Source organism: Homo sapiens, chromosome 4, assembly GCF_000001405.40.
Source record: "Homo sapiens chromosome 4, GRCh38.p14 Primary Assembly".
In the NCBI taxonomy this organism is placed as follows: Eukaryota; Metazoa; Chordata; class Mammalia; order Primates; family Hominidae; genus Homo; species Homo sapiens.
This window is the reverse complement of record NC_000004.12, coordinates 119,191,857-119,213,602: the sequence shown is the minus strand read 5'-3', so window position 1 is coordinate 119,213,602 and position 21,746 is coordinate 119,191,857. Positions and strand designations below refer to the sequence as shown.

The following is a 21,746-nucleotide window of genomic DNA, read 5'->3' as shown; positions in this document are numbered from 1 at the left end:
CCAACTGGTAATTCCCTGCATACTTTGCATTGATAAAGAAAACCTTGTAGCAGGGTTACAAACCTCAAAACATCCTCAGATTGCAGGTTTTAGAAACCCTCCCTATTACACCTGTGCAAGTACTTCCTGTTCTCCAACACTGTTTAAAAATAGTTTGGTAAATGCCCCGTAAGCCGCCCTTTAGAAGCTAAACATTAACTTTATATACATCACCACTACCACTGAGAAACCACCACCCCAAGAATCTCACGAGTCCAGTCATCTCTCTTCTCCAAGGAGGGAGCATAACCATCCTGGACCCCTTTAAGTAAAAAACTGTGTGCTCAGGCGAGGCAATGTGGCTTGGACAGCCAGGGGCAGGAGCCAAGTAAGGGTATTACTCACAATCCCAGCAGGACTCCAGCTTGTCGCCGCCCTCAAACACGGCAGCAATAACATCCAGGACCCAACAAGTACAGCACCTCCTCCCGCCTCGCGAGCGCCTCCAGCCTGGCCAGAGGCATCTCCGCCAGACGCGGCGAGAAGGGGCGAAAGGGCTGCGTGACCTCTGGCGTCTGAACCGCCCAGCAAAGAGAGTGTGTGTGTGCCCAGAGGGCCGGGGCCATAGGAGGTCGCCGGGCTGCGAGGGGAGAGACGAGCTCTGGGGCTAGAATGAGAGTGTCCCGGTCAGGCCCGCGGGGGTCGCAGGTCTCTGGATCTCCAACCAGAGGGCTAGTTTCGGAGACTTACCTTGAGCTCTACCCTCCTTGCGCGAGGAGCGTGCGGTCCAGGTAGAGAAATACAGGCCTTCCACTCCCACAGAGCTACCTCCCGCTGGCCCAGCCCCGCTTCACGCCGACACCCGCCAGACACACTGACTGCTGCCACAGTACCGAGGCTCACCGGGAACTGGAGCACAGGCGGCTGGTCTCCGCCGCCCAGAGCCCGACCCTGTGAGCGGAGCATGCGCATACGCCCCAATACCCAGGGACCAGTCAGGCCAGTGACACCTGCGATCAACAGGTCCCTGGAGCCCCGCCCCTCTCCCCGCCTCGAGCCCGCCCCTCGGAGCGGGCTCCGCCTTCACGCTCACCGAGGTAACTCCGCCTCCGCTCGCGATTTCCCGGCTTTCTGGACCTGCGGAATTCTATTCCCGCGGGGATTTGATGGCGTGCGCGATACAGTTGGCTTCCTCGGAGGCGCGAGATCGCGCGAGACCAAGAGATAGAACATTTCTGCAAAAGCGGCAGCTTGGCGCTGGAGTTTGGTTGTTGGGGGAAAGGTGGTTGTAGGACGTGCTGTCTGGTGTGGTGAGAAAGAGGCTAGTTCTTCAGGAGGAGGCGATTATTCTGGTGCTCTTGGTAGTTCATTCGGTATTTTCTAAGCTCAAGAACGCGGATCCACCAAGGACTTCACTTAGGTTAGGTGTTACCTGAGAGAACAATCCGTAGTTTGGCATCAGAACCCCATGCGGACACGCAGTTTCCTTTAGATTTCCGTGAGTCGTTAGACGATCTATTTGCAGTTAAATGGCTTCCTGTGGCGTGAATGTGTATTCCCCAAGCAGTTGTTTCTTGCCTTTAATTAGATAGCTTTAATAAGTCTGTTGACCTGGTTAATGATTGTCAGAAAAGTCTGTCCGCCTCTTTGCCGTGCTTTCGAACAGGTTTTAAGTTAAAAGGTACTGCTGGGAATTGGGCTAAACTTTGATTTTGAATAAACCTTTCTTAGGAATAGTAGTAAAGGAAAAACCCATCGTCACTGATACCGAATATCTCTCAAGTAAATAAAGAAGGTTTTGGAACTCATTCCAAAGCTGGTGTAAGTTGAACATACTAATTGTAAAAATGGATTTCAGTAAACCCAGAGGCACTTCTAAAAGTTTATTTGAAGAAAGAGGGGGAAGAAATATTGGTCGTTGATACAGGAGACAAATAGGACCCGTTTGTAATGTCTGAGGCTGAATCATTAAGAATTTATTGAGCATTTACTATGTTCCCTTTACTGAACTAGGCACTGTCAGAAATAGGATGAAATAAAGCCGTGGTTTCTGCCCTCAAAATATTAAAAACTTTGGGAGGGGTGGGGGAAAAAAAGATCCTACTCTGCATTTTTAAAACAATAAGAGCACACCATTAACTCTTCCCTCCGTTTCTCTAATGTCATTTTCTCCTCATTCTGCAGCTACTTTTCTGGTGCACTTTAAATACTGTTTTTCCGCTGCGTGGTCTCTGTTCGCCAGCACTCCATTTTCTTTTGCTGTTTCTGTTTAATGTTAATCCATGTCTCCTTGAGCAGTCTCTTTCCCATCATGGATTTACCTACCACGTGTCCTGTGCACCAAGAACTCTCAGGTGTATATCTATACGTCGGACATTTTTAAGCAACATCCTTTGGATTTCACACAGTATCTTAAATATGTCCCAAATTGACATGGACATCTTTACTATAATCTGTTCCTGATGCCATGTCCCTCTTCACCCATCTGGAACCTACACCATTTCCATTCCCTGTTTCAGAAAATGACACGCAACTGCCCAAGTCAGAAATCTATGAGTACCCCTGTTACTTTTCCTTCATTTCCTCTTTTCTAATATCAAATTTTGACTCTTATTTCCTTAAGTATCTCTCAGGTCCACCCCTCCACTCTCACTGTCTTAGTCCTTCAAGTAATCACCATCTCTTATGACTCATCTTCCTTGTACTATTGCAATATTCACAAGATATCCTCTAGTTATTTCCCACACCAGTCCAACCTCCATTCTATTAATAATTTTTCTAACGTGAAAATACGATCATTATACTTCTCTGCTAAGAATTTTTCATTACCCACCGGCAGGGCCTTTCATGATCACACTGTTAAACTCATCGCCATTCTTCCTCCAGTTCCTCCACATTAATCTTTCTAAAGTCCTTGCTTTCTATGTTCTTGGTTCTCTCAAGATCCTTTGGTTCTCTCTCGAATGCTTATCTCCATGGATCTTTTCATAACTTTCTGAGACAAAATTGTCATCCCTTTTGGGACTTATTTTTATAACAATTATGTTGTACTATATTTATTTCTCTGCAAATGTACCTGACAGAGTAACCCCCACCTCCACCCTTGAGAAATAATTTGAACTGTGGATAATAATGGCTTATACTACCTCCCTTCCTTATTTAGCAATTACAGAAGAATACCCTTCAGTTCACCCTGCTCAAGAATTTGACTAAACCCTGACTATACACTTTTAAAATTATATAATTTCATACTTTCTACCAGTTTTTAGCATATCTATGTACCGATCCTTAAATGGTAGAGTTGTAATAGGACCCAATTTAAGCATCAAGAGGGCAGAGTCTGAAGCAAACATGAAAAAATGGAAAATTGACATTGCAGGACAGCTGTTGCTCCCAGAAAATTTGTAATTGGGAAAGTCACAACAAGGATTTAAAATATTTTAATTCTTACTATTTGTCCTTGAGGGACGTGTGTGGGTTTGATTCCCTAGTTTCTGATTGGCTGGACCCAAATTTGTGAAGACCAATCTCTGCACCTCACACAGGCAAAGAGATCATGAAAGGGAGCAGGCTTGGCATGCCAAAGAATACCCTAGATCATTCAGCTGAGGCTTAGCCAAAGTTCACACCACCAGCACATATACACACCTCTTAGTGTTATTCTGGATTGATTATAACTCAGACTTTGAGAAATGTGCTACCCTGTGGCTAGATGCACCCTGCCACTAATGTCTGGTAGGAATAGCAACATTGTGTCCTGCGGAGCTGTAACCCAGTAGTTCCAGGAGGTAATCAACAGCTTAACCATGACTGAGCTGGGTGGGGTAGAGTGAAATATAGCATAGGGAAGTAGTAGATCAATGACTGACTCAGGGTTAGATACTAGACAGAATCCTTTTTTTCCTAAATGCATCCATAAGGACTGACAAGTGAATTTCCTTACTACCTAAGCTCTCTGTTTTTTCATGTTTCCAAGGCATAGCACAGTGCCTAGCACAGATGCTTAACAAGCAGTGTTTATTGGATGGAGTAAAAATTGGAAGTTTTGTTGATTTTTTTGAATAGAGTCATCTGTGTGGGCTAAAGTTGGAGAGGGCTTCTGTGGGAGATCAAATATGAACTTCAGCTTGGAAGGATTATAAGCAAGTGTATTTGAAGGCATTGAGGAAGATATGTAACTTAAAAGAGCAAAGTTTTAGAAACAGGATTGAACAAGGCCAGTACAGGACTACAATGGGAAGCCTTTGTAAGTTCTGGGGCAGAATGATTCATTTGGAATAAGGTACAGAAGAACTGTAGGGGAAACTATAGCTAGGCAAGAAGAGAAATCTCTAGGCTGTGACTCAGGGATGAGTCAACCAGAAAAATCTAGTCACAATTGACCACTCCCTCCTTGACATCTTCATCTCAATTCTTGTGACATCATTCCTTTATGGCTTTCATCCTGCCTCATGGGCTTCTCTTTCTCAGCCTCCTTTTCTCTTGTACTTTTCAATCTGCTTTAAATGTTGATGTGCCTTAGTGCCTGATCCTGAGATGTCATTTATCCTCATGGTTTTAAATCTATTTCCCACACAGCAGCCAATTAGTCTTTTAAAAATATTGACATGTTACTCCCCAACTTAAATTGTTCAATGACTTTTCATTCACATAGAATAAAATCCAAAATTCTTGCCAAGGCCTATAGACCCCTGAATGATCTGTTCCTGCTTCCGCAACAACATCTCATGCTGTTCAAGGCTTTGCATTCTCTATTCTCTATGTCTGGAAGACTAGTTCTAAACTGGGGGTGGTTTTCTCTCCCATGGACATTTGGCAATGGTTGGAAACATTTTTGGTTGTCACAGTTGCGGGCAGGGATGCTGCTAAACATCCTACAATGGACAAGACAGTCTCCCACAACAAAGAATTATCTAGTCCCCAATGTCAGTAGGATCAAGGTTGAGAATTACTGGCCTAGAACATTCTTCCCATGGGTCTCTAAGTGATTGCTATAGTAATGTGCCTTGTCATTGAAAGTAGCTGGTCTGAACGAGTAAGGCACAGATGAAGTGGGAAGGAGAGAGAGAGTTCCTGAGGATCCTCTCTCCTCTTACAAGGAATTCTGGACTTCAGTATTTACTGGATTCCTAAAGCTCTGCAGCATGACATTTTGTTAAACACTGGAAGTTCAAATTCAATATCCATGATATCTTAGCTAGCTCTTACTTGGCTGAAACTTTTCTGGCCATCCATCCCAGACCTTCTAAGGCTCTGCCATAACAAGGTCAACATTTGCTAGTAAATCACTGCTAGTGGTTTAACTAGTGGCCTCTTTAATTTTTGCTGACTTAGGGTCAGCGTAGGCAATTTCATTACCCTTGTATGTTATTTCACATTGAAACATTCTAATTTTCTTATCATTAAAATTGGGGTGAGAAGAAATACTTATACAAATATCTTTTTATAAGGCCCTAGATAAAAGCAACTGTAAAGTCCCACACTAGGTTATGATGGCCATTAGTGCCATTATTATGATTACTAATGCTGATTACTAAAAAAAAAAAAAATGTTCTTATAGAATCCCATTATCATTGATGACAATGATATGTATTTAATTAAAATCTCAAAAGTACAGAAAGCTTTAGATTTCATCTGGTCCAGCCTCCCACTCAATGGAGGATCATCCTCACCAGTGGGCTATCAGCTTCTGTTCAAATATGGTAACAGTGATAGAAAACCTAATGCTTTGCAGGGCAGCCTATTATTGCCCTTTTAAGACTAACTCAAAAAAATGTTCATCACAATGAGTTGGAATCTATCTCCTAGTAATTTCCACATACTAGCCTTATTTCTGTCCTTTGAAACAACAGAAATCTATATTCTCCTTTTTCATAAGATAGTAGTTAACACTGAAAATATCTTTTGTGTTTTTAAGCTAAAATACTCCACTCTAGCAACGATTTTTGAAAGCCTAGTAAATATTACACTAATCCACATATTCATTCATTTATTATACAGTACTTCACCTCATCCTACAAATGATTTAAATGATTTTAAATAAATTCTGGCATATAATAAAAAATGGAGGTCAAACATAAATAAGAAAAAACAATCAGAGCTATCAGGAATTAAAATAAGAGTAAAAGGTAAAGAGCGAGAGCAAAAGAACAGATATATGCATGAGCCTGTAACTTAAACTTCAGTTTGGCTATGTTCTAAAACCAAAAGTGAATGAGATATTTAAGTTATCAGTAACAGGAAAACATTTTTCTGTCATCGTTTAAAATGCTTTTCTCCCCCATGTGAGCCTGTATCTAAGGAGACTCTTATCTATGTTCACTGACAATGGCTTCATCAACATGTTCCTGGCAAATGCAGTAACAAGCCTCACATACCATCCATGTGACTGAATTCAAGATGCTGTCTTGTCAACTTCAGAAAAATATGTGGTGCCCAAAAATAAAAACAGATTTTTGCAATTACCCCAATTGTGGTTTGGAGAAATTACTTCCTCCCATAGTTCAGACACTGTTTTCTTATCAGGATAGTTTAAATAAGATTGTTTTGCAATTGTGTCACTTTGTTAACCAATATTAGTTTATGTTCAAAATACTTGATTTTTAATTTATTTCTCTTTTATAAAGTGATAGGAAGCCAGGTTTTCCAAATCTTAATGCCATTATTCTTTTTTGGACACAAATATTTATGCTGTCTCAGAGCACAAGCAACCCCATCATTGGTTTTCTTCATTTCTTTTAAGTATCTTATTTTGCTTTGAAGTTTCATGCCAGTAAGTTTCATCTTATCTCATAAGATTCACTATTCTTCCTCTATTTTTGTATTGCAAAAATTAGTAATATCTTCTTTGTCTTCAGCTATGTCATTAAGGAAAATGTTGACGAAGACTGGATTCCTGACCTTCTGCCCCAGCTGCAGCCTAAATTAATCCTAATGGCAGAACTAAAAGTGTTAGAAAGCCAAGAAAAGAAATGTTTAAGGGCAACATGGTGTCATAAAATAGTATGGTTTTTGTACCTGGACAGAAACAGATTTAAATCCTGACATTGCCATTTATTGTTTGTGTGATCTTGAAAAGCTATTAACTTCCATAAATCTCAGTTTCTTCATCTGTGTGTAGCAGGGTATCCTAGCTAACTGGATTGCTGTTAACAGGATTAAGTAGGACTGCCAGCCCCTCTGGACACTTATTTGCCTAGTTTTGTAATTTTTTTTTTCTGGCAATGTTTTGTAATCTGAGCAAAAGAATGAAAAAAAAAACAAATTGTGGAATTATTTGTGCTCAGAAGCAACGTGGATATGATAGAAACAACACTGAATGTTCTTTGCTCTCAACAAGTAGTTGTATGACTGTGGGCAGATCAGTTTTAACCTCTTTTAACCTCTCTTTCCTCATGCTTAAATGGAAGAATTAGAGTACAGTGTTCTAAATATGTGAAAGTGCCTTTTCTCAATTGTTATTTAATCCCTAAATATGTGTTAGAAACTAACTGCTTTATGCAGACTATTTTATTTAACTTTTTCAATGACCCTAAATATTAATATTTAGATATTACTAATATCCTTATTTTAGAAATAATGAAAATGAGGTACCTAGCATAGTGTCTAGAACATAGGAAGCACTCAATAAACAGAAGATGAATGACTAAATAAAAGACCATATAAGTTAAATATGCTGTCAAGTTACAGCCATGGAAATGCAGTAGAGTAAGTAGAAATGAACAAAGCCAGTATGTACTGCACTAATAATAGGTCCAGAAGTATTGGCCAAAAATATCTGGAGGTTTAATTGTCATAAAGTTATTCACTAGCATTCCTTTCTATGAACATCAATTCTCTTCAACTTTTTATAAAACTAGTTTTATAAAATTATTTTATATATAAGATGCCTTAGAATCTTAGTATCTTAGTGATGGAAAGGACCTCAGAGATTAGTTTGTTAAAATCCCTCACTGTACATATGAGAAAACTTAAGCCCAGGGAAGAAAAATTACCCAAGGTCATTCTAGACTCTGGCAGAACCAGAACTGAAATCCAATTCCTTAACATTTGGAATTTGCCTAGTGTGAACAATTTTCCATGAAGTATTCTGAAGTTTCATGGAAGATGGAACTCTTTTCTTTCTTAAAGTACAGTAAAATTTCTTATATATTCAAATATTAGAATATTGATAAACATACGTGGCACTTTTGTACCTTTTTATAAGACAAAGGAAAGAGAACATAAGGAGGTCAAGAGTATTTCAAAGGCGAATATTTTCTTTTTTCTGAATTGTGATATCCATGGTAGTTCTCTGACTGTACAAAAAACAACCATCGTGTTTGCAAATTTATCAAACTTATTTTCCCACTCCTTGGAAATATAACAAATCCAAGCCTGTGTGACTTGCACGTACGCACAAACACACACACACTCACTCACTTTACACCTTGGACTGACTTGTTTTTAAAGTAATTCTTTAAGAAATACAATAGTAAAGTAACACAGTGTCTTTTGCTCATAGCATATTGGCTGAAATACTAGACCCAAAGGAAGTTGCCCCGGAGAGCACTTTTCTTGTAAAGATGACAAAAATATTCAGGGCACAGTGTTTTCAAGTTGAACTTCCTTGTTGAAATTCACTTCACAGTCAAAAGAAAAAAGTAAAATAACACTTAATTTTAAATAATGTAAAAAAATTGTTGGAAAATATTCAGTGGCAAAAGCATTTTCAAGACTTGTAAGTATATATAAAGGCAGAAATACTAGAGTACTGAATTTTTTTCCAATTCTTAACTGTTTGTGCTCTTGAATCTTTCATTTTCTTATCTGTAAAACAAGCCCTAAACCCTAAATTGTGCTGAGGAAAAACGCAAACCAACTCTTAGCAGGTAAAATCCATTGTATGTGTGTTAAAGCCTTTTTAGACATTATTAAATGAAAGTGTTTTGATTAAATTGCTTTCTACAAGTTTTATTCTGCTAATGTTTCAAATACTTTTAACTCTAAAGAACTCTTTATCAAGTTTTAATAGTGTTAATGTGATAGAAGGAAGCCAGTTCAGTTGCTAAAAACAGTGCTGACATTTAAATTGCAAGCAGCAACTAGCACAAGAAAGAACAGCAGCTTTCTTTTTTTTTTTTTTTTTTTTCTGAGACAGTTTCTCCCTCGTTGCCCAGGGTGGAGTGCAATGGCCCAATCTCGGCTCACTGCAACCTCCGCCTCCCAGATTCAAGCGTTTCTCCTGCCTCAGCCTCCTTAGTAGCTGGGACTACAGGCACATGCCACCACGCCCAGCTAATTTTTTTGTAGTTTTAGTAGAGAAGCAGTTTTGCCATGTTGGCGAGGCTGGTCTCCCAACACCCGACTTCAGGTAATCCACCCACCTCGGCCTCCCAAAGTGCTGGGATTACAGGCATGAGCCACTGCATTGGCCTTCATCATGCTGTTAATATAGTACTAGTTGGTTGTACCTAGCAAAATAATAACTTGTTCTTGTTTATTCTTTTTTTTTTATACTTTAAGTTCTAGGGTACATGTGCACATCGTGCAGGTTTGATACATAGGTATACATATGCCATGTTGGTTTGCTGCACCCATCAACTCATCATTTACATTAGGTATTTCTCCTAATGCTATCCCTCCCCCAGCCCCCCACCCCCTGACAGGCCCCAATGTGTGATGTTCCCCGCCCTGTGTCCAAGTGATCTCATTGTTCAGTTCCTACCTGTGAGTAAGAACATGCAGTGTTTGGTTTTCTGTCCTTGTGATAGTTTGCTGAGAATAATGGTTTTCAGATTCATCCACGTCCCTACAAAGGACATGAACTCATCCTTTTTTTATGGCTACGTAGTATTCCATGGTGTATATGTGCCACATTTTCTTAATCCAGTCTACCACTGATGGACATTTGGGTTAGTTCCAAGTCTTTGCTATTACGAATAATGCCACAATAAACATATGTGTGCATGTGTCTTTATAATAGCATGATTTATAATCCTTTGGGTATATACCCAGTAATGGGATTGCTAGGTCAAATAGTAATTCTAGTTCTAGATCCTTGAGGAATTGCCACCCTGTCTTCCACAATGGTTGAACTAATTTACACTCCTACCAACAGTGTAAAAGCGTTCCTATTTCTCCATATCCTCTCCAGCATCTGTTGCTTCCTGACTTTTTGTTTGTTTGTTTTTTTGAGACAGAGTCTCACTCTGTTGCCCAGGTTGGAGTGCAGTGGTGCAATTTTGGCTCACTGCAAACTCCGCCTCCTAGGTTCACACCATTCTCCTGCCTCAGCCTCCCAAGTAGCTGGAACTACAGGCACCCGCCACCACGCCAGGCTAATTTTTTTTTTTTTTTTTTTTTTTTTTTAGTAGAGACAGGGTTTCACCATGTTAGCCAGGATGGTCTCTATCTCCTGACCTCATGATCTGCCCACCTTGGCCTCCCAAAAGTGCCGGGATTACAGGCTGGAGCCACCACGCCCAGCCGTTTTGTGACTTTTTAATGATTGCCATTCTAACCGGCGTGAGATGGTATCTGTTTGTGGTTTTGATTTGCATTTCTCTGATGACCAGTGATGATGAGCATTTTTTCATGTGTCTGTTGGCTGCATAGATGTCTTCTTTTGAGAAGTGTCTGTTCATATCCTTTGCCTACTTCTTGATGGGATTGTTTGTTTTTTTCTTGTAATTTTGTTCAAGTTCTTTGTAGATTCTGGATATTACCCTTTGTCATATGGATAGGTTGCTAAAATTTTTTCCCATTCTGTAGGTTGCCTGTTCACTCTGATGGTAGTTTCTTTTGCTGTGCAGAAGCTCTTTACTTCAATTAGATCCCATTTATCTATTCTGGCTTTTGTTACCATTGCTTTTGGTGTTTTAGTGATGAAGTCTTTGCCCATGCCTATGTCCTGAATGGTATTGCCCAGGTTTTCTTCTAGGGTTTTTATGGTTTTAGGTCTAACATTTAAGTCTTTTAATCCATCTCGTATTAATTTTTGTATAAGGTGTAAGGAAGGGACCCAGTTTCAGCTTTATACCTATTGTGAGCCAGTTTTCCCAGCACCATTTATTAAATAGGAAATCCTTTCCCCATTTCTTGTTTTTGTCGGGTTTCTCAAAGATCAGATGGTTGTAGATGTGTGGTGTTATTTCTGAGGCCTCTGTTCTGTTCCATTGGTCTATATCTCTGTTTTGGTACCAGTACCATGCTGTTTTGGTTACTGTAGCCTTGTAGTATAGTTTGAAGTCAGGTAGCGTGATGCCTCCAGCTTTGTTCTTTGTGCTTAGGATTGTCTTGGCAATGCGGGCTCTTTTTTGGGTTTCATATGAACTTTCAAGTAGTTTTTTCCAATTCTGTGAAGAAAGTCATTGGTAGCTTGATGGGGATAGCATTGAATCTATAAATTACTATGGGCAGTATGGCCATTTTCATGATATTGATTCTTCCTATCCGTGAGCGTGGAATATTCTTCCATTTGTTTGTGTCCTCTTTTATTTCATTGAGCAGTGGTTTGTAGTTCTCCTTGAAGACGTCTTTCATATCCCTTGTAAGGTAGATTTCTAGGTATTTTATTCTCTTTGTAGCAATTGTGAATAGGAGTTCACTCATGATTTGGCTGTTTGTCTGTTAATGCTGTATAGGAATGCTTGTGATTTTTGCACATTGATTTTGTATCAATTTTGTATTGATTTTGCTGAAGTTGCTTGTCAGCTTAAGGAGATTTGGGCTGAGATGATGGGGTTTTCTAAATATACAATCATGTCATCTGCAAACAGGAACAATTTGACTTCCTCATTTCCTAATTGAATACCCTTTATTTCTTTCTCTTGCCTGATTGCCCTGAACTTCCAACACTATATTGAATAGGAGTGGTGAGAGAGGGCATCCCTGTCTTGTGCCAGTTTTCAAAGGAATGGTTTGAGTTTTTGCCCATTCAGTATGATATTGGCTGTGTGTTTGTCATAAATAGCTCTTATTATTTTGAGATATATTCCATCAATACCTAGTTTATTGAGAGTTTTTAGCATGAAGGGCTGTTGAATTTTGTTGAAGGCCTTTTCTGCATCTATTGAGATAATCATGTGGTTTTTGTCATTGGTTCTGTTTATGTGATGGATTATGTTTATTGATTTGTGTATATTGAACCAGCCTTGCATCCCAGGGTTGAAGCCGACTTGATCGTGGTGGATAAGCTTTTGGATGTGCTGCTGGATTCTGTTTGCCAGTATTTTATTGAGGATTTTCACTTTAATGTTCATCAGGGATATTGGCCTAAAATTCTCTTTTTTTGTTGTGTCTCTGCCAGGCTTTAGTATCAGGATGATGCTGGCCTCATAAAATGAGTTACGGAGGATTCCCTCTTTTTCTATTGATTGGAATAGTTTCAGAAGGAATGGTACCAGCTCCACTTTGTACCTCTGGTAGAATTTAGCTGTGAATCTGTCTGGTCCTGGACCTTTTTTGGTTGGTAGGCTATTAATTCTTGCCTCAATTTCAGAGCCTGGGATTGGTCTCTTCAGAAATTCAACTTCTTTCTGGTTTAGTCTTGGGAGGGTGTTATGTGTCCAGGAATTTATCCATTTCGTCTAGATTTTCTAGTTTATTTGCGTAGAGGTGTTTATAGTATTCTGTGATAGTAGTTTGTATTTCTGTGGGATTGGTGATATACCATTTATCATTTTTTATTGTGTCTATTTGATTCTTCTCACTTTTCTTCTTTATTAGTCTTGCTAGCGGTCTATCAATTTTGTTGATCTTTTCAAAAAACCAGCTCCTGGATTCATTGATTTTTTCAAGGGCTTTTTGTGTCTCTGTCTCTTTCAATTCTGCTCTGATCTTAGTTATTTCTTGCCTTCTGCTAGCTTTTGAATTTCATTGCTCTTGCTTGTCTAGATCTTTTAATTGTGATGTTAGGGGGTCGATCTTATATCTTTCCTGCTTTCTCTTGTGGGCATTTAGTGCTATCAATTTCCCTCTACACAGTGCTTTAAATGTGTCCCAGAGATTCTGGTACATTGTGTCTTTGTTCTCATTGGTTTCAAAGAACATCTTTATTTCTGCCTTCATTTCATTCTTTACCCAGTAGTCATTCAGGAGCAAGTTGTTCAGATTCCATGTAGTTGTGCAGTTTTGAGTGAGTTTCTTAATCCTGAGTTCTAACTTGATTGCACTGTGGTCTGAAAGACAGTTTGTTGTGATTTCTGTCCTTTTACATTTGCTGAGGAGTGATTTACTTCCAATTATGTGGTCAATTTTAGTGTGTGATGTGGTGCTGAGAAGAATGTATATTCTGTTGATTTGGGGTGGAGAGTTCTGTAGATGCCTATGAGGTCCGCTTGTTGCAGAGGTGAATTCAAGTCCTGGATATCCTTGTTAACCTTCTGTCTCATTGATCTGTCTAATATTGACAATGGGGTGTTAAGTCTTCCATTATTATTGTGTGGGAGTCTAAGTCTCTTTGTAGGTCTTTAAGTACTTGCTTTATGAATCTGGGTGCTCCTGTATTGGGTGCATATATATTTAGGATAGTTAGCTCTTCTTGTTGAATTGATCTCTTTACAATTATGTAATGGCCTTCTTTGTCTCTTTTGATCTTTGTTGGTTTAAAGTCTGTTTTATCAGAGACTAGGATTGCAACCCCTGCCTTTTTTTGTTTTCCATTTGCTTGGTAGATCTTCCTCCATCCCTTTATTTTGAGCCTATGTGTGTCTCTGCACGTGAGATGGGTCTCCTGAAAACAGCACACTGAGGGTCTTGACTTTTTATCCAATTTGCCAGTCTGTGTCTTTTAATTGGGGCATTTAGGCCATTTACATTTGAGGTTAATATTGTTATGTGTGAATTTGATCCTGTCATTATGATGTTTGCTGGTTATTTTGCCCATTAATTGATGCAATTTCTTTATAGCATTGATGGTCTTTACAATTTGGCATGTTTTTGCAGTGGCTGGTCCCAGTTGTTTCTTTCCATCTTGAGTGCTTCCTTCAGGAGCTCTTGTAGGGCAGGCCTGGTGGTGACAAAATCTCTCAGCATTTGCTTGTGTGTAAAGGATTTTATTTCTCCTTCACTTAGGAAGCTTAGTTTGGCTGGATATGAAATTCTGGGTTGAAAATTCTTTTCTTTAAGCATGTTGAATATTGGCCCCCACTCTCTTCTGGCTTGTAGAGTTTCTGCAGAGAGATCCACTGTTAGTCTGATGGGCTTCCCTTTGTGGGTAACCTGACCTATCTCTCTGGCTGCCCTTAACATTTTTTCCTTCATTTCAACCTTGATGAATCTGACAATTATGTGTCTTGGAGTTGCTCTTCTCGAGGAGTATCTTTGTGGTGTTCTCTGTATTTCTTGAATTTGAATGTTGGCCTGCCTTGCTAGGTTGGAGAAGTTCTCCTGTATAATATCCTGCAGAGTGTTTTCCAACTTGGTTCCATTTTCCCCATCACTTTCAGGTACACCAATCAAACGTAGATTTGGTCTTTTCACATAGTCCCATATTTCTTGGAGGCTTTGTTCATTTCTTTTTACTCTTTTTTCTCTCACCTTGTCTTCTCACTTTATTTCATTAATTTGATCTTCAATCACTGATAACCTTTCTTCCACTTGTTTGAATCACCTATTGAAGCTTGTGCATATGTCACGAAGTTCTCATGCCATGGTTTTCAGCTCTATCAGGTCATTTAAGGTCTTCTGTACACTGTTTATTCTAGTTACCTATTTGTCTAATCTTTTTTCAAGGTTTTTAGCTTCCTTGTGATGGTTTCAAACATCCTCCTTTAGCTCAGAGAAGTTTGTTATTACTGACCTTCTGAAGCCTACTTCCATCAACTTGTCAAAGTCATTCTCTGTCCAGCTTGGTTCTGTTGCTGGCAAGGAGCTGTGATGCTTTGGAGGAGAAGAGGTGCTCTGATTTTTAGCATTTTCAGCTTTTCTGCTCTGATTTCTCCCCGTCTTTGTGGTTTTATCTACCTTTGGTCTTTGATTTTGGTAACCTACAGATGGGGTTTTGGTGTAGATGACCTTTTTGTTGATGTTGATGCTATTCCTTTCTGTTAGTTAGTTTTCCTTCTAACAGTCAGGTCCCTCAGCTGCAGGTCTGTTGGAATTTGCTGGAGGTTCACTCCAGACCCTGTTTGCCTGGGTATCACCAGCAGAGGCTGCACAACAGCATATATTGCAGAACAGCAAGTATTTCTGCCTGATCCTTCCTCTGGAAGCTTCATCCCAGAGGGGCAGCTGCCTATATGAGGTGTCTGTCGGCCCCTCCTGGGAGGTGTCTCTCAGGCTACACGGGGGGTCAGGGACCCACTTGAGGAGGCAGTCTGTCCGTTCTCAGAGCTCAAACACCGTGCTGGGAGAACCACTGCTCTCTTAAGAGCTATCAGACAGGGACATTTAAGTCTATAGAAGTTATCTGCTGCCTTTTGTTCAGCTATGCCCTGCCTACAGAGGTGGAGTGTCGAGGCAGTAGGCCTTGTTGAGCTGCGGTGGGCTCCGCCCAGTTCAAGCTTCCAGGCCTCTTTGTTTACCTACTCAAGCCTCAGCAATGGTGGACGCCCCTTCCCAGCCAGGCTGCCGCCTCACAGTTCAATCTCAGACTGCTGTGCTAGCAGTGAGCAAGGCTCCATGGGCGTGAGACCTGTGGAGCCAGGCACAGGAGAGAGTCTCCTTGTCTGCTGGTTGCTAAGACCTTGGGAAAAGGGCAGTATTTGGGCGGAAGTGTCCCGTTTTTCCAGGTAGTCTGTCATGGCTTCCCTTGGCACTTCCTCCTTGCACTTCCCGGGTGAGGCAACACCCCGCCCTCCTGCAGCTCGCCCTCCTTGGGCTGCACCCACTGTCCATTCAGTCCCAATGAGATGAACCATGTACCTCAGTTGGAAATGCAGAAATCACCCATCTTCTGTGTCGATCACAGTGGGAGCTGCAGACCAGAGCTGTTCCTATTCGGCCATCTTGGAACTCTGTTCTTTGTTTATTCTTATTACTATTTGTAAAATATTAATATCTTTTTGCTGTGCTAGCAAGAGGACACTTAAGTAAACAAAGTATGGAGTTGTACAAGTAGCATAGCCTAATATATTCTGATAATTGTGGTCATTATAATATATACATTTATACATGTATTCATCTGAAAACATATTTTTTTCTGTGTAACCATAATGACCAGTACTTTAATACGAAGTTAAAAGTTTTGAGTTTTTAAGAATTTTTAATAGGTTTCAATGAGTTTGTGAGGAAATGTATTGTGATTAATCATATACTATCTTCACATCTCTTTCTGTATATCAAAAGTAAAGAATATATTTCTTTAAACAAGATGGTGGTCTCACAGTGAGGAGCTGTCAAGGAATGCAATTTGATATGCCTAGAAGCAGATTTTATTTTATTTTATTTTTTTAATTTTTATTTTAAGTTCTGGGGTACATGTGCAGGATGTGCAGGTTTGTTACATAGGTAAATGTGTGCCATGGTGGTTTGCTGCACAGATCATTCCATCACCTAGTACCACGGTGAGATGGTTATCCCATTGTGGTTTTGATTTGCATTTCTCTAATGATTAGTAATGTTGAGCTATTTTTCATATGATTGTTGGCCGGATGTATGTCTTCTTTTGAAAAGTCTGTTCATGTCCTTTACCCACTTTGTAATGGAATTGTCTGTTTTTGTCTTCTTGTAAATTTGTTTAAGTTCCTTATAGATGTTGGATATTAGACCTTTGTCAGTAGGATGGATTGCAAAAATTTTCTCTGATTTTGTAGGTTTTCTATTCAATCTGATAATAGTTTCTTTTGCTGTGTAGAAGCTCTTTAGTTTAATTAGATCCCATTTGTCAATTTTTGCTTTTGTTGCAATTGCTTTTGGTGTTTTCGTCATGAAATCTTTGCCCATGCCTATGTCCTGAATGGTATTGCTTAGATTTTCTTCTAGGGTTCTTATAGTTTTGGGTTTTACATTTAAGTCTTTAATTCATCTTGAGTTTTGATTTTTGTATATGGTATAAGGAAGGGGTTCAGTTTCATTTTTCTGCATATGGCTAGCCAGTTCTCCTAGAACCAATTTTTAAATAGGAAATCCTTTCCCCATTGCTTGTTTTTGTCAGGTTTGTCAAAAAACAGATGGTTGTAGGTGTGTGGTCTCATTTCTAGATTCTCTATTCTGTTCCATTGGTCTATGTGTCTGTTCTTGTACCTGTACCATGCTCTTTTGGTTACTGTAGCCTTGTAGTATAGTTTGAAGTCAGGTAGCTTGATGCCTCCAGCTTTGTTCTTTTTGCTTAGGATTGTCTTGGCTATGTGTGCTCTTTTTCAGTTCCATATGAATTTTAAAATAGTTTTTCTCTAATTCTGCGAAGAATGTCAATGGTAGGTAGTGTAATGGGAATATTTTTCACGATATTGATGCTTCCTATCCATGAACATGGAATGTTTTTCCATCTGCTTGTGTCCTCTTTGATTTCCTTGCGCAGTGGTTTGTAATTCTCCTTGAAGAGATCTTTCACTTCTGTTGTTAGCTGTGTTCTTAGTTGTTTTATTCTCTTTGTGGCAATTGTGAATGGGAGTTCATTCATGATGTGGGTTTCTGCTTGTCTGTTGTTAGTGAATATGAATGCTAATGATTTTTGCACATTGATTTTGTATCCTGAGACTTTGCTGAAGTTGCTTATCAGCCTAAGAAGCTTTTGGGCTGAAATGATGGGGTTTTCTATATATAGGATCATGTCATCTGCAAACAAAGACAGTTTGACTTCCTCTGTTCCTATTCGAATACACTTTTTTTCTTTCTCTTGCCTGATTGACCTGGCCAGAACTTCCAATACTATGTTGAATTGGAATGGAGAGAGAGGGCATCCTTGTCTTGTGCTGGTTTTCAAACGAAATATAGAAGCAGATTTTAAAAGCAGTTTCTCTTCAGAACATTTTTTTTTCATACCACTTGGTAAGCATCTTGAAACACCATGGCTGTAGCAGCAGCAAAATGGGTGCTATCAAAAAGAACTATCTTGAATAGTTCCAATATTACCAATCCAAAACAGAGTTTTATATTGTTTGTCATAAATCTCCATATTCTTCTCTACCAGATGACTGTAATTGCAAAGAAGAGCTTGCTGTGATATCTGATGGCAGAACAATAGTGTGCTACCACCATTCTGTGGACATTTCATATGAGCATACAAAACAAACCCTCAATCAGATTCTGTGCATGATAATGAAGAAACATATGTTCAAGTGCTGAAAACTAGATTGGAAGATAAAGGTAAGCATCTTGAGAAACCCATGATAGAACAACTCGGCAAAATGTTCTTTCCTACTAAACACCACTGGTATCCTCATGGACAGTATCACGATGTCTTAAGAAACTAGACCCTCCAAACGACAGATTTTTAAATTGCCTTTGAGGATCAATTCATGAGATCTACCCAGAAAATAAATGTTACAGTGTTTCTATTGGCTTCTAGGAAATAATTAAATTAGTTATATTTTAATCAGTTTCTTCTATCTGTTAGGCCCCTTTCATCCGTTCTATTTTTTTTTTTTTTTGGTGAGACGGTATCTTGCTCTGTCTCCCAGGCTGGAGTGCAGTGGTGTGCGATCTCGGTTCACTGCAACCTCCACTTCCCAGGCTCAGGTGATTCTCCTGTCTCAATCTCCTGAGAACCTGGGACTGCAGGTGCACCACTACTATCTTATATATGATCCTTAATAGCATTGTTTCCCCTGCGATTTCTATTTAGGAGGTGAGGAATCTTTTAAGAAGGTGGAAAGGTACTTTATTTAAACTTGTAAAATAAATTTGTGTTACACTATTTGTAAAATTAATGTGAAAAATAATTTCATATTCAAAGTCTATTGTTTGATCTAGTTCTTTTAATAAAGGAACTCTAACTAAGTTTCAAATGGCCAGTAAAGTGTGAGGAATAGTGACTAGGAGAGAGTAACGAAATAGTTAATAATGGTGACCCTCTGTTTCCCAAAAGAAAAGTGGTTTGCTTTTGTCATTAATGTAAATTTCATTTGGGAAGATCAAAGAAAAAACAAGTTGATTGAACTTGATAAACCAGAAATATTTAGCAGTTTTGTTGATGATGTATCCTTGAAAAATGGTTAGTTTTCTTTCAGGTTGATTTATATCCAATATTTTACAAATTTTTAGGTATGTTAAAAATGTAAACAATAAAAAAAATCAAAATATTATATATGTGTATTTCTTAAATAAATGTGGCTCATGTTCATATTTGACTTTATGTTTTAAAATAGATACTGATCCTGGAGTGCTACAGGACCTAGAAGAGGTCTTTTCCAAGAGGCCTGGGACCCGAGGCCAGTTAGCTATGTTGTAGAACTTTCATGAACCCTTATATTTTACATAGGTAGGATTAAGGAAAAATGAATGTTAGAAACAGAGTTTAAAAATTAAGTTTGAGAATGGAATATATGTAGAAATTGATCAGTATTCCTGCTTGCTTTTTCAAGGTAACATGGGGAAGAAAAAAACATTATTTCAGGTTGATTAAATAATGCATTTGTCATTATTTCAGCTGACAGAGGAGTCACCTTCTTTCATTGGTTATAACTTCCAGGTGCCTACTTTCCTTAAGCAAGGTGGAAACACCCTAAAGCAAGGGACTTGGAGATTATTGTTTTTATTCACTATATGCTTGTTTTGTTGTGTCGAGGAATCAGAATCCAGGTGCAATATTTTTCTTGATTCAAAACATTCCAAACAGGTATTTACATGAAAAACCATTTTAGGTATTAAAAAAAGAGGCAGTACTGTACTACATGTCAATCCCATGGGAACTCCCTTCTGATTATGTAATACACTTCCCAAAGAGTTACAGTATACTGATCAAGGAAAGTATCCACCATTATTGATTTTTAAAAATTCTTACATAACGTACAAAATGTGAATGCTCACAAGAAATAAGACCATTTTAGCAAGCTCCTAAATAGGCTACCTTTTTTTGTTTTTGAGACAGGGTCTCACTCTGTCACCCAGGATGGAGTGCCGTGGTGCAATCTCGGCTCTACAACCTCCACCTCCCAGGTTCGAGGGATTCTTGCACCTCAGCCACCCAAGTAGTTGGGATTACAGGTGCACCCCACCACACTCAGCTAATTTTTGTATTTTTAGTAGAGACTGGGTTTCACCATTTTGGCCAGGGTGGTCTGGAACTCCTGGCCTCGTGTGATCCGTCTGCCTCAGCCTCCCAAAGTGCTGGGATTACAGGCGTGAGCCACCATGCCTGATCTGTAAATAGGCTATCTTAATGACAATTTTGAGTCTGGAGAATGGAGCTAATGCTAATGTTTATCCTAAAAATTAGGCTACTTTCGTGTTTCTGATTCTCTGTGTATGTTTAATATAATCATTGTTCCAACATATATTCCAAATCCAGGCTAGGTATATGAATTAGTTCGTTCACGCTGCTATAAAGATACTACCTGAGACTGGGTAATTTATAAAGAAAGGAGAGTTAATTGACTCACAGTTCTGCATGGCTGGGGAGGCCTCAGGAAACTTACAATCATGGCAGAAGGCAAAGGGGAAGCAAGTACCTTGTTCACAAAGTGGGAGGAGAGAGAGAGAGCAAAGTGGGAACTGGGAAACACGTTTAAACCATCAGATTTTGTGAGAACTCCCTGACTATCATGAGAACAGCATGGGATAAATCATCCCTTTGATCCAATTACCTCCCACCAGGTCCCTCCCTTGATTTGGGTGGGAACATAGAGCCAAATCATATTGGTATATTTATCCCAAAGTAATTCCAGTGTCATCTCTAATCTAACTTAGTTCTGAATACCATTGCTTTTTTACTGTGTGATCTGAATAATTTTTCATTTTTTTAAATAAAAATACCTTCCATTTATTGAACACTTAACCAAGTATTGGGTAATGTGTTTTATAATGCATTATTTTAAATATAGAAGCTTATGTTATTGCCATAATTCAGATATGTTTATTTCACAAATAGATATTGTTCTTTTTTTTTTTTTTTGAGATGGAGTCTTGCTCTGTCACCCAGGCTGGAGTGCAGTGGCACCGTGTCAGCTCACTGCAACCTCTGTCTCCTGGGTCCAAGCAATCCTCCTGCCTCAGCCTCCTGAGTAGCTGGGATTACAGGTGCCCACCACCACGCCCGGCTAATTTTTGTATTTTTTAGTGGAGAAAGGGCTTCACCGTGTTGGCCAGGCTGGTCTCGAACTCCTGACCTCAGGTGATCCACCTGCCTCGGCCTCCCAAAGTGCTGGGATTACAGGCATGAGCCACTGCACCCGGCCAATATTATTATTTAGAATGGACCGGGCATACAGGATATAGCAGTTAATACAAGTGATCTCGCTTATATGCAAAATCTAAAAAAGTTGAACTCACAGAAGTAGAGAGTAGAATGGTAGTTCTGGGAAGTGGGCAGTGGTTGGGAAGATATTGATCAAAGGATTCAAAATTTCAGTTACAAAGGAGGAAGTTCAGAAAATCTAGTGTACAACATGATGACTATAGTTAATAATAACATTGTATTTTGAAAATCATGGAGATTTTCAGTGTTCTCACCACAAAAAATGATCAGTATATAAGGTAATGCCTATGTTAATTGTTGAAATAGCTCAATTGAACTATTCCCACAATGTATACATATTTCAAAGCATCATGTTATACATGATTAACATACAATTTTATATTTGTCAATTAAATAAATAAATAAGGCAAATCCTTGCCCTCAGAGAGCATTCATTCTGGTGAAAGAATTAAACAATAAAGAAATAAATACATATAAAAATATGTGT

At 39.2% G+C, this 21,746-nt stretch overlaps 1 protein-coding gene, 1 long non-coding RNA gene and 1 pseudogene across 34 annotated transcripts in view, besides 6 other annotated features; 2 read left to right on the top strand and 1 right to left on the bottom strand.

Moving 5' to 3' along the window:
• USP53 (ubiquitin specific peptidase 53) overlaps nt 1-1,002 on the bottom strand; it is an 82,918-nt gene extending 81,916 nt beyond the window's left edge. For 26 of the 33 annotated variants that reach the window (NM_001371395.1, XM_047415834.1, XM_047415837.1 and 23 more), the window contains exon 1: nt 730-890. The gene's annotated coding sequence lies outside the window, so the exon portion shown is untranslated. The other 7 variants (XM_047415826.1, XM_011532037.3, XM_047415827.1 and 4 more) reach the window with 5 other exon arrangements.
• Nucleotides 251-824: an enhancer, noted in NCBI's record as "H3K27ac hESC enhancer chr4:120133934-120134507 (GRCh37/hg19 assembly coordinates)". NCBI's record gives its function as "activates a minimal SCP1, AML or CMV promoter by ChIP-STARR-seq in naive H9 embryonic stem cells {active_cell/tissue: H9 hESC(naive)}" and the evidence as "EXISTENCE:reporter gene assay evidence [ECO:0000049][PMID:30033119]".
• Nucleotides 496-545: an enhancer, noted in NCBI's record as "active region_21853". NCBI's record gives its function as "activates an Ori minimal core promoter by ATAC-STARR-seq in GM12878 lymphoblastoid cells {active_cell/tissue: GM12878}" and the evidence as "EXISTENCE:reporter gene assay evidence [ECO:0000049][PMID:35858748]".
• Nucleotides 896-1,025: a silencer, noted in NCBI's record as "silent region_15654". NCBI's record gives its function as "represses an Ori minimal core promoter by ATAC-STARR-seq in GM12878 lymphoblastoid cells {active_cell/tissue: GM12878}" and the evidence as "EXISTENCE:reporter gene assay evidence [ECO:0000049][PMID:35858748]".
• Nucleotides 959-20,830, top strand: LOC101929762 (uncharacterized). The gene is made up of 3 exons (NR_125931.1): nt 959-1,076; nt 18,035-18,210; nt 19,212-20,830. It is a non-coding gene; the product is annotated as an uncharacterized LOC101929762 (long non-coding RNA).
• Nucleotides 1,156-1,275: an enhancer, noted in NCBI's record as "active region_21852". NCBI's record gives its function as "activates an Ori minimal core promoter by ATAC-STARR-seq in GM12878 lymphoblastoid cells {active_cell/tissue: GM12878}" and the evidence as "EXISTENCE:reporter gene assay evidence [ECO:0000049][PMID:35858748]".
• Nucleotides 1,398-1,972: an enhancer, noted in NCBI's record as "OCT4-NANOG-H3K27ac hESC enhancer chr4:120132786-120133360 (GRCh37/hg19 assembly coordinates)". NCBI's record gives its function as "activates a minimal SCP1, AML or CMV promoter by ChIP-STARR-seq in naive H9 embryonic stem cells {active_cell/tissue: H9 hESC(naive)}" and the evidence as "EXISTENCE:reporter gene assay evidence [ECO:0000049][PMID:30033119]".
• Nucleotides 3,128-4,327: an enhancer, noted in NCBI's record as "P300/CBP strongly-dependent group 1 enhancer chr4:120130431-120131630 (GRCh37/hg19 assembly coordinates)". NCBI's record gives its function as "activates an origin of replication core promoter dependent on BRD2, BRD4, P300/CBP, MED14 and CDK7 cofactors, with strong dependence on P300/CBP, by STARR-seq in HCT116 cells {active_cell/tissue: HCT116}" and the evidence as "EXISTENCE:reporter gene assay evidence [ECO:0000049][PMID:35650434]".
• On the top strand, nt 17,836-18,478 carry MRPL42P1 (mitochondrial ribosomal protein L42 pseudogene 1; annotated as a pseudogene).
• Nucleotides 20,831-21,746: the final 916 nt, after the last annotated feature.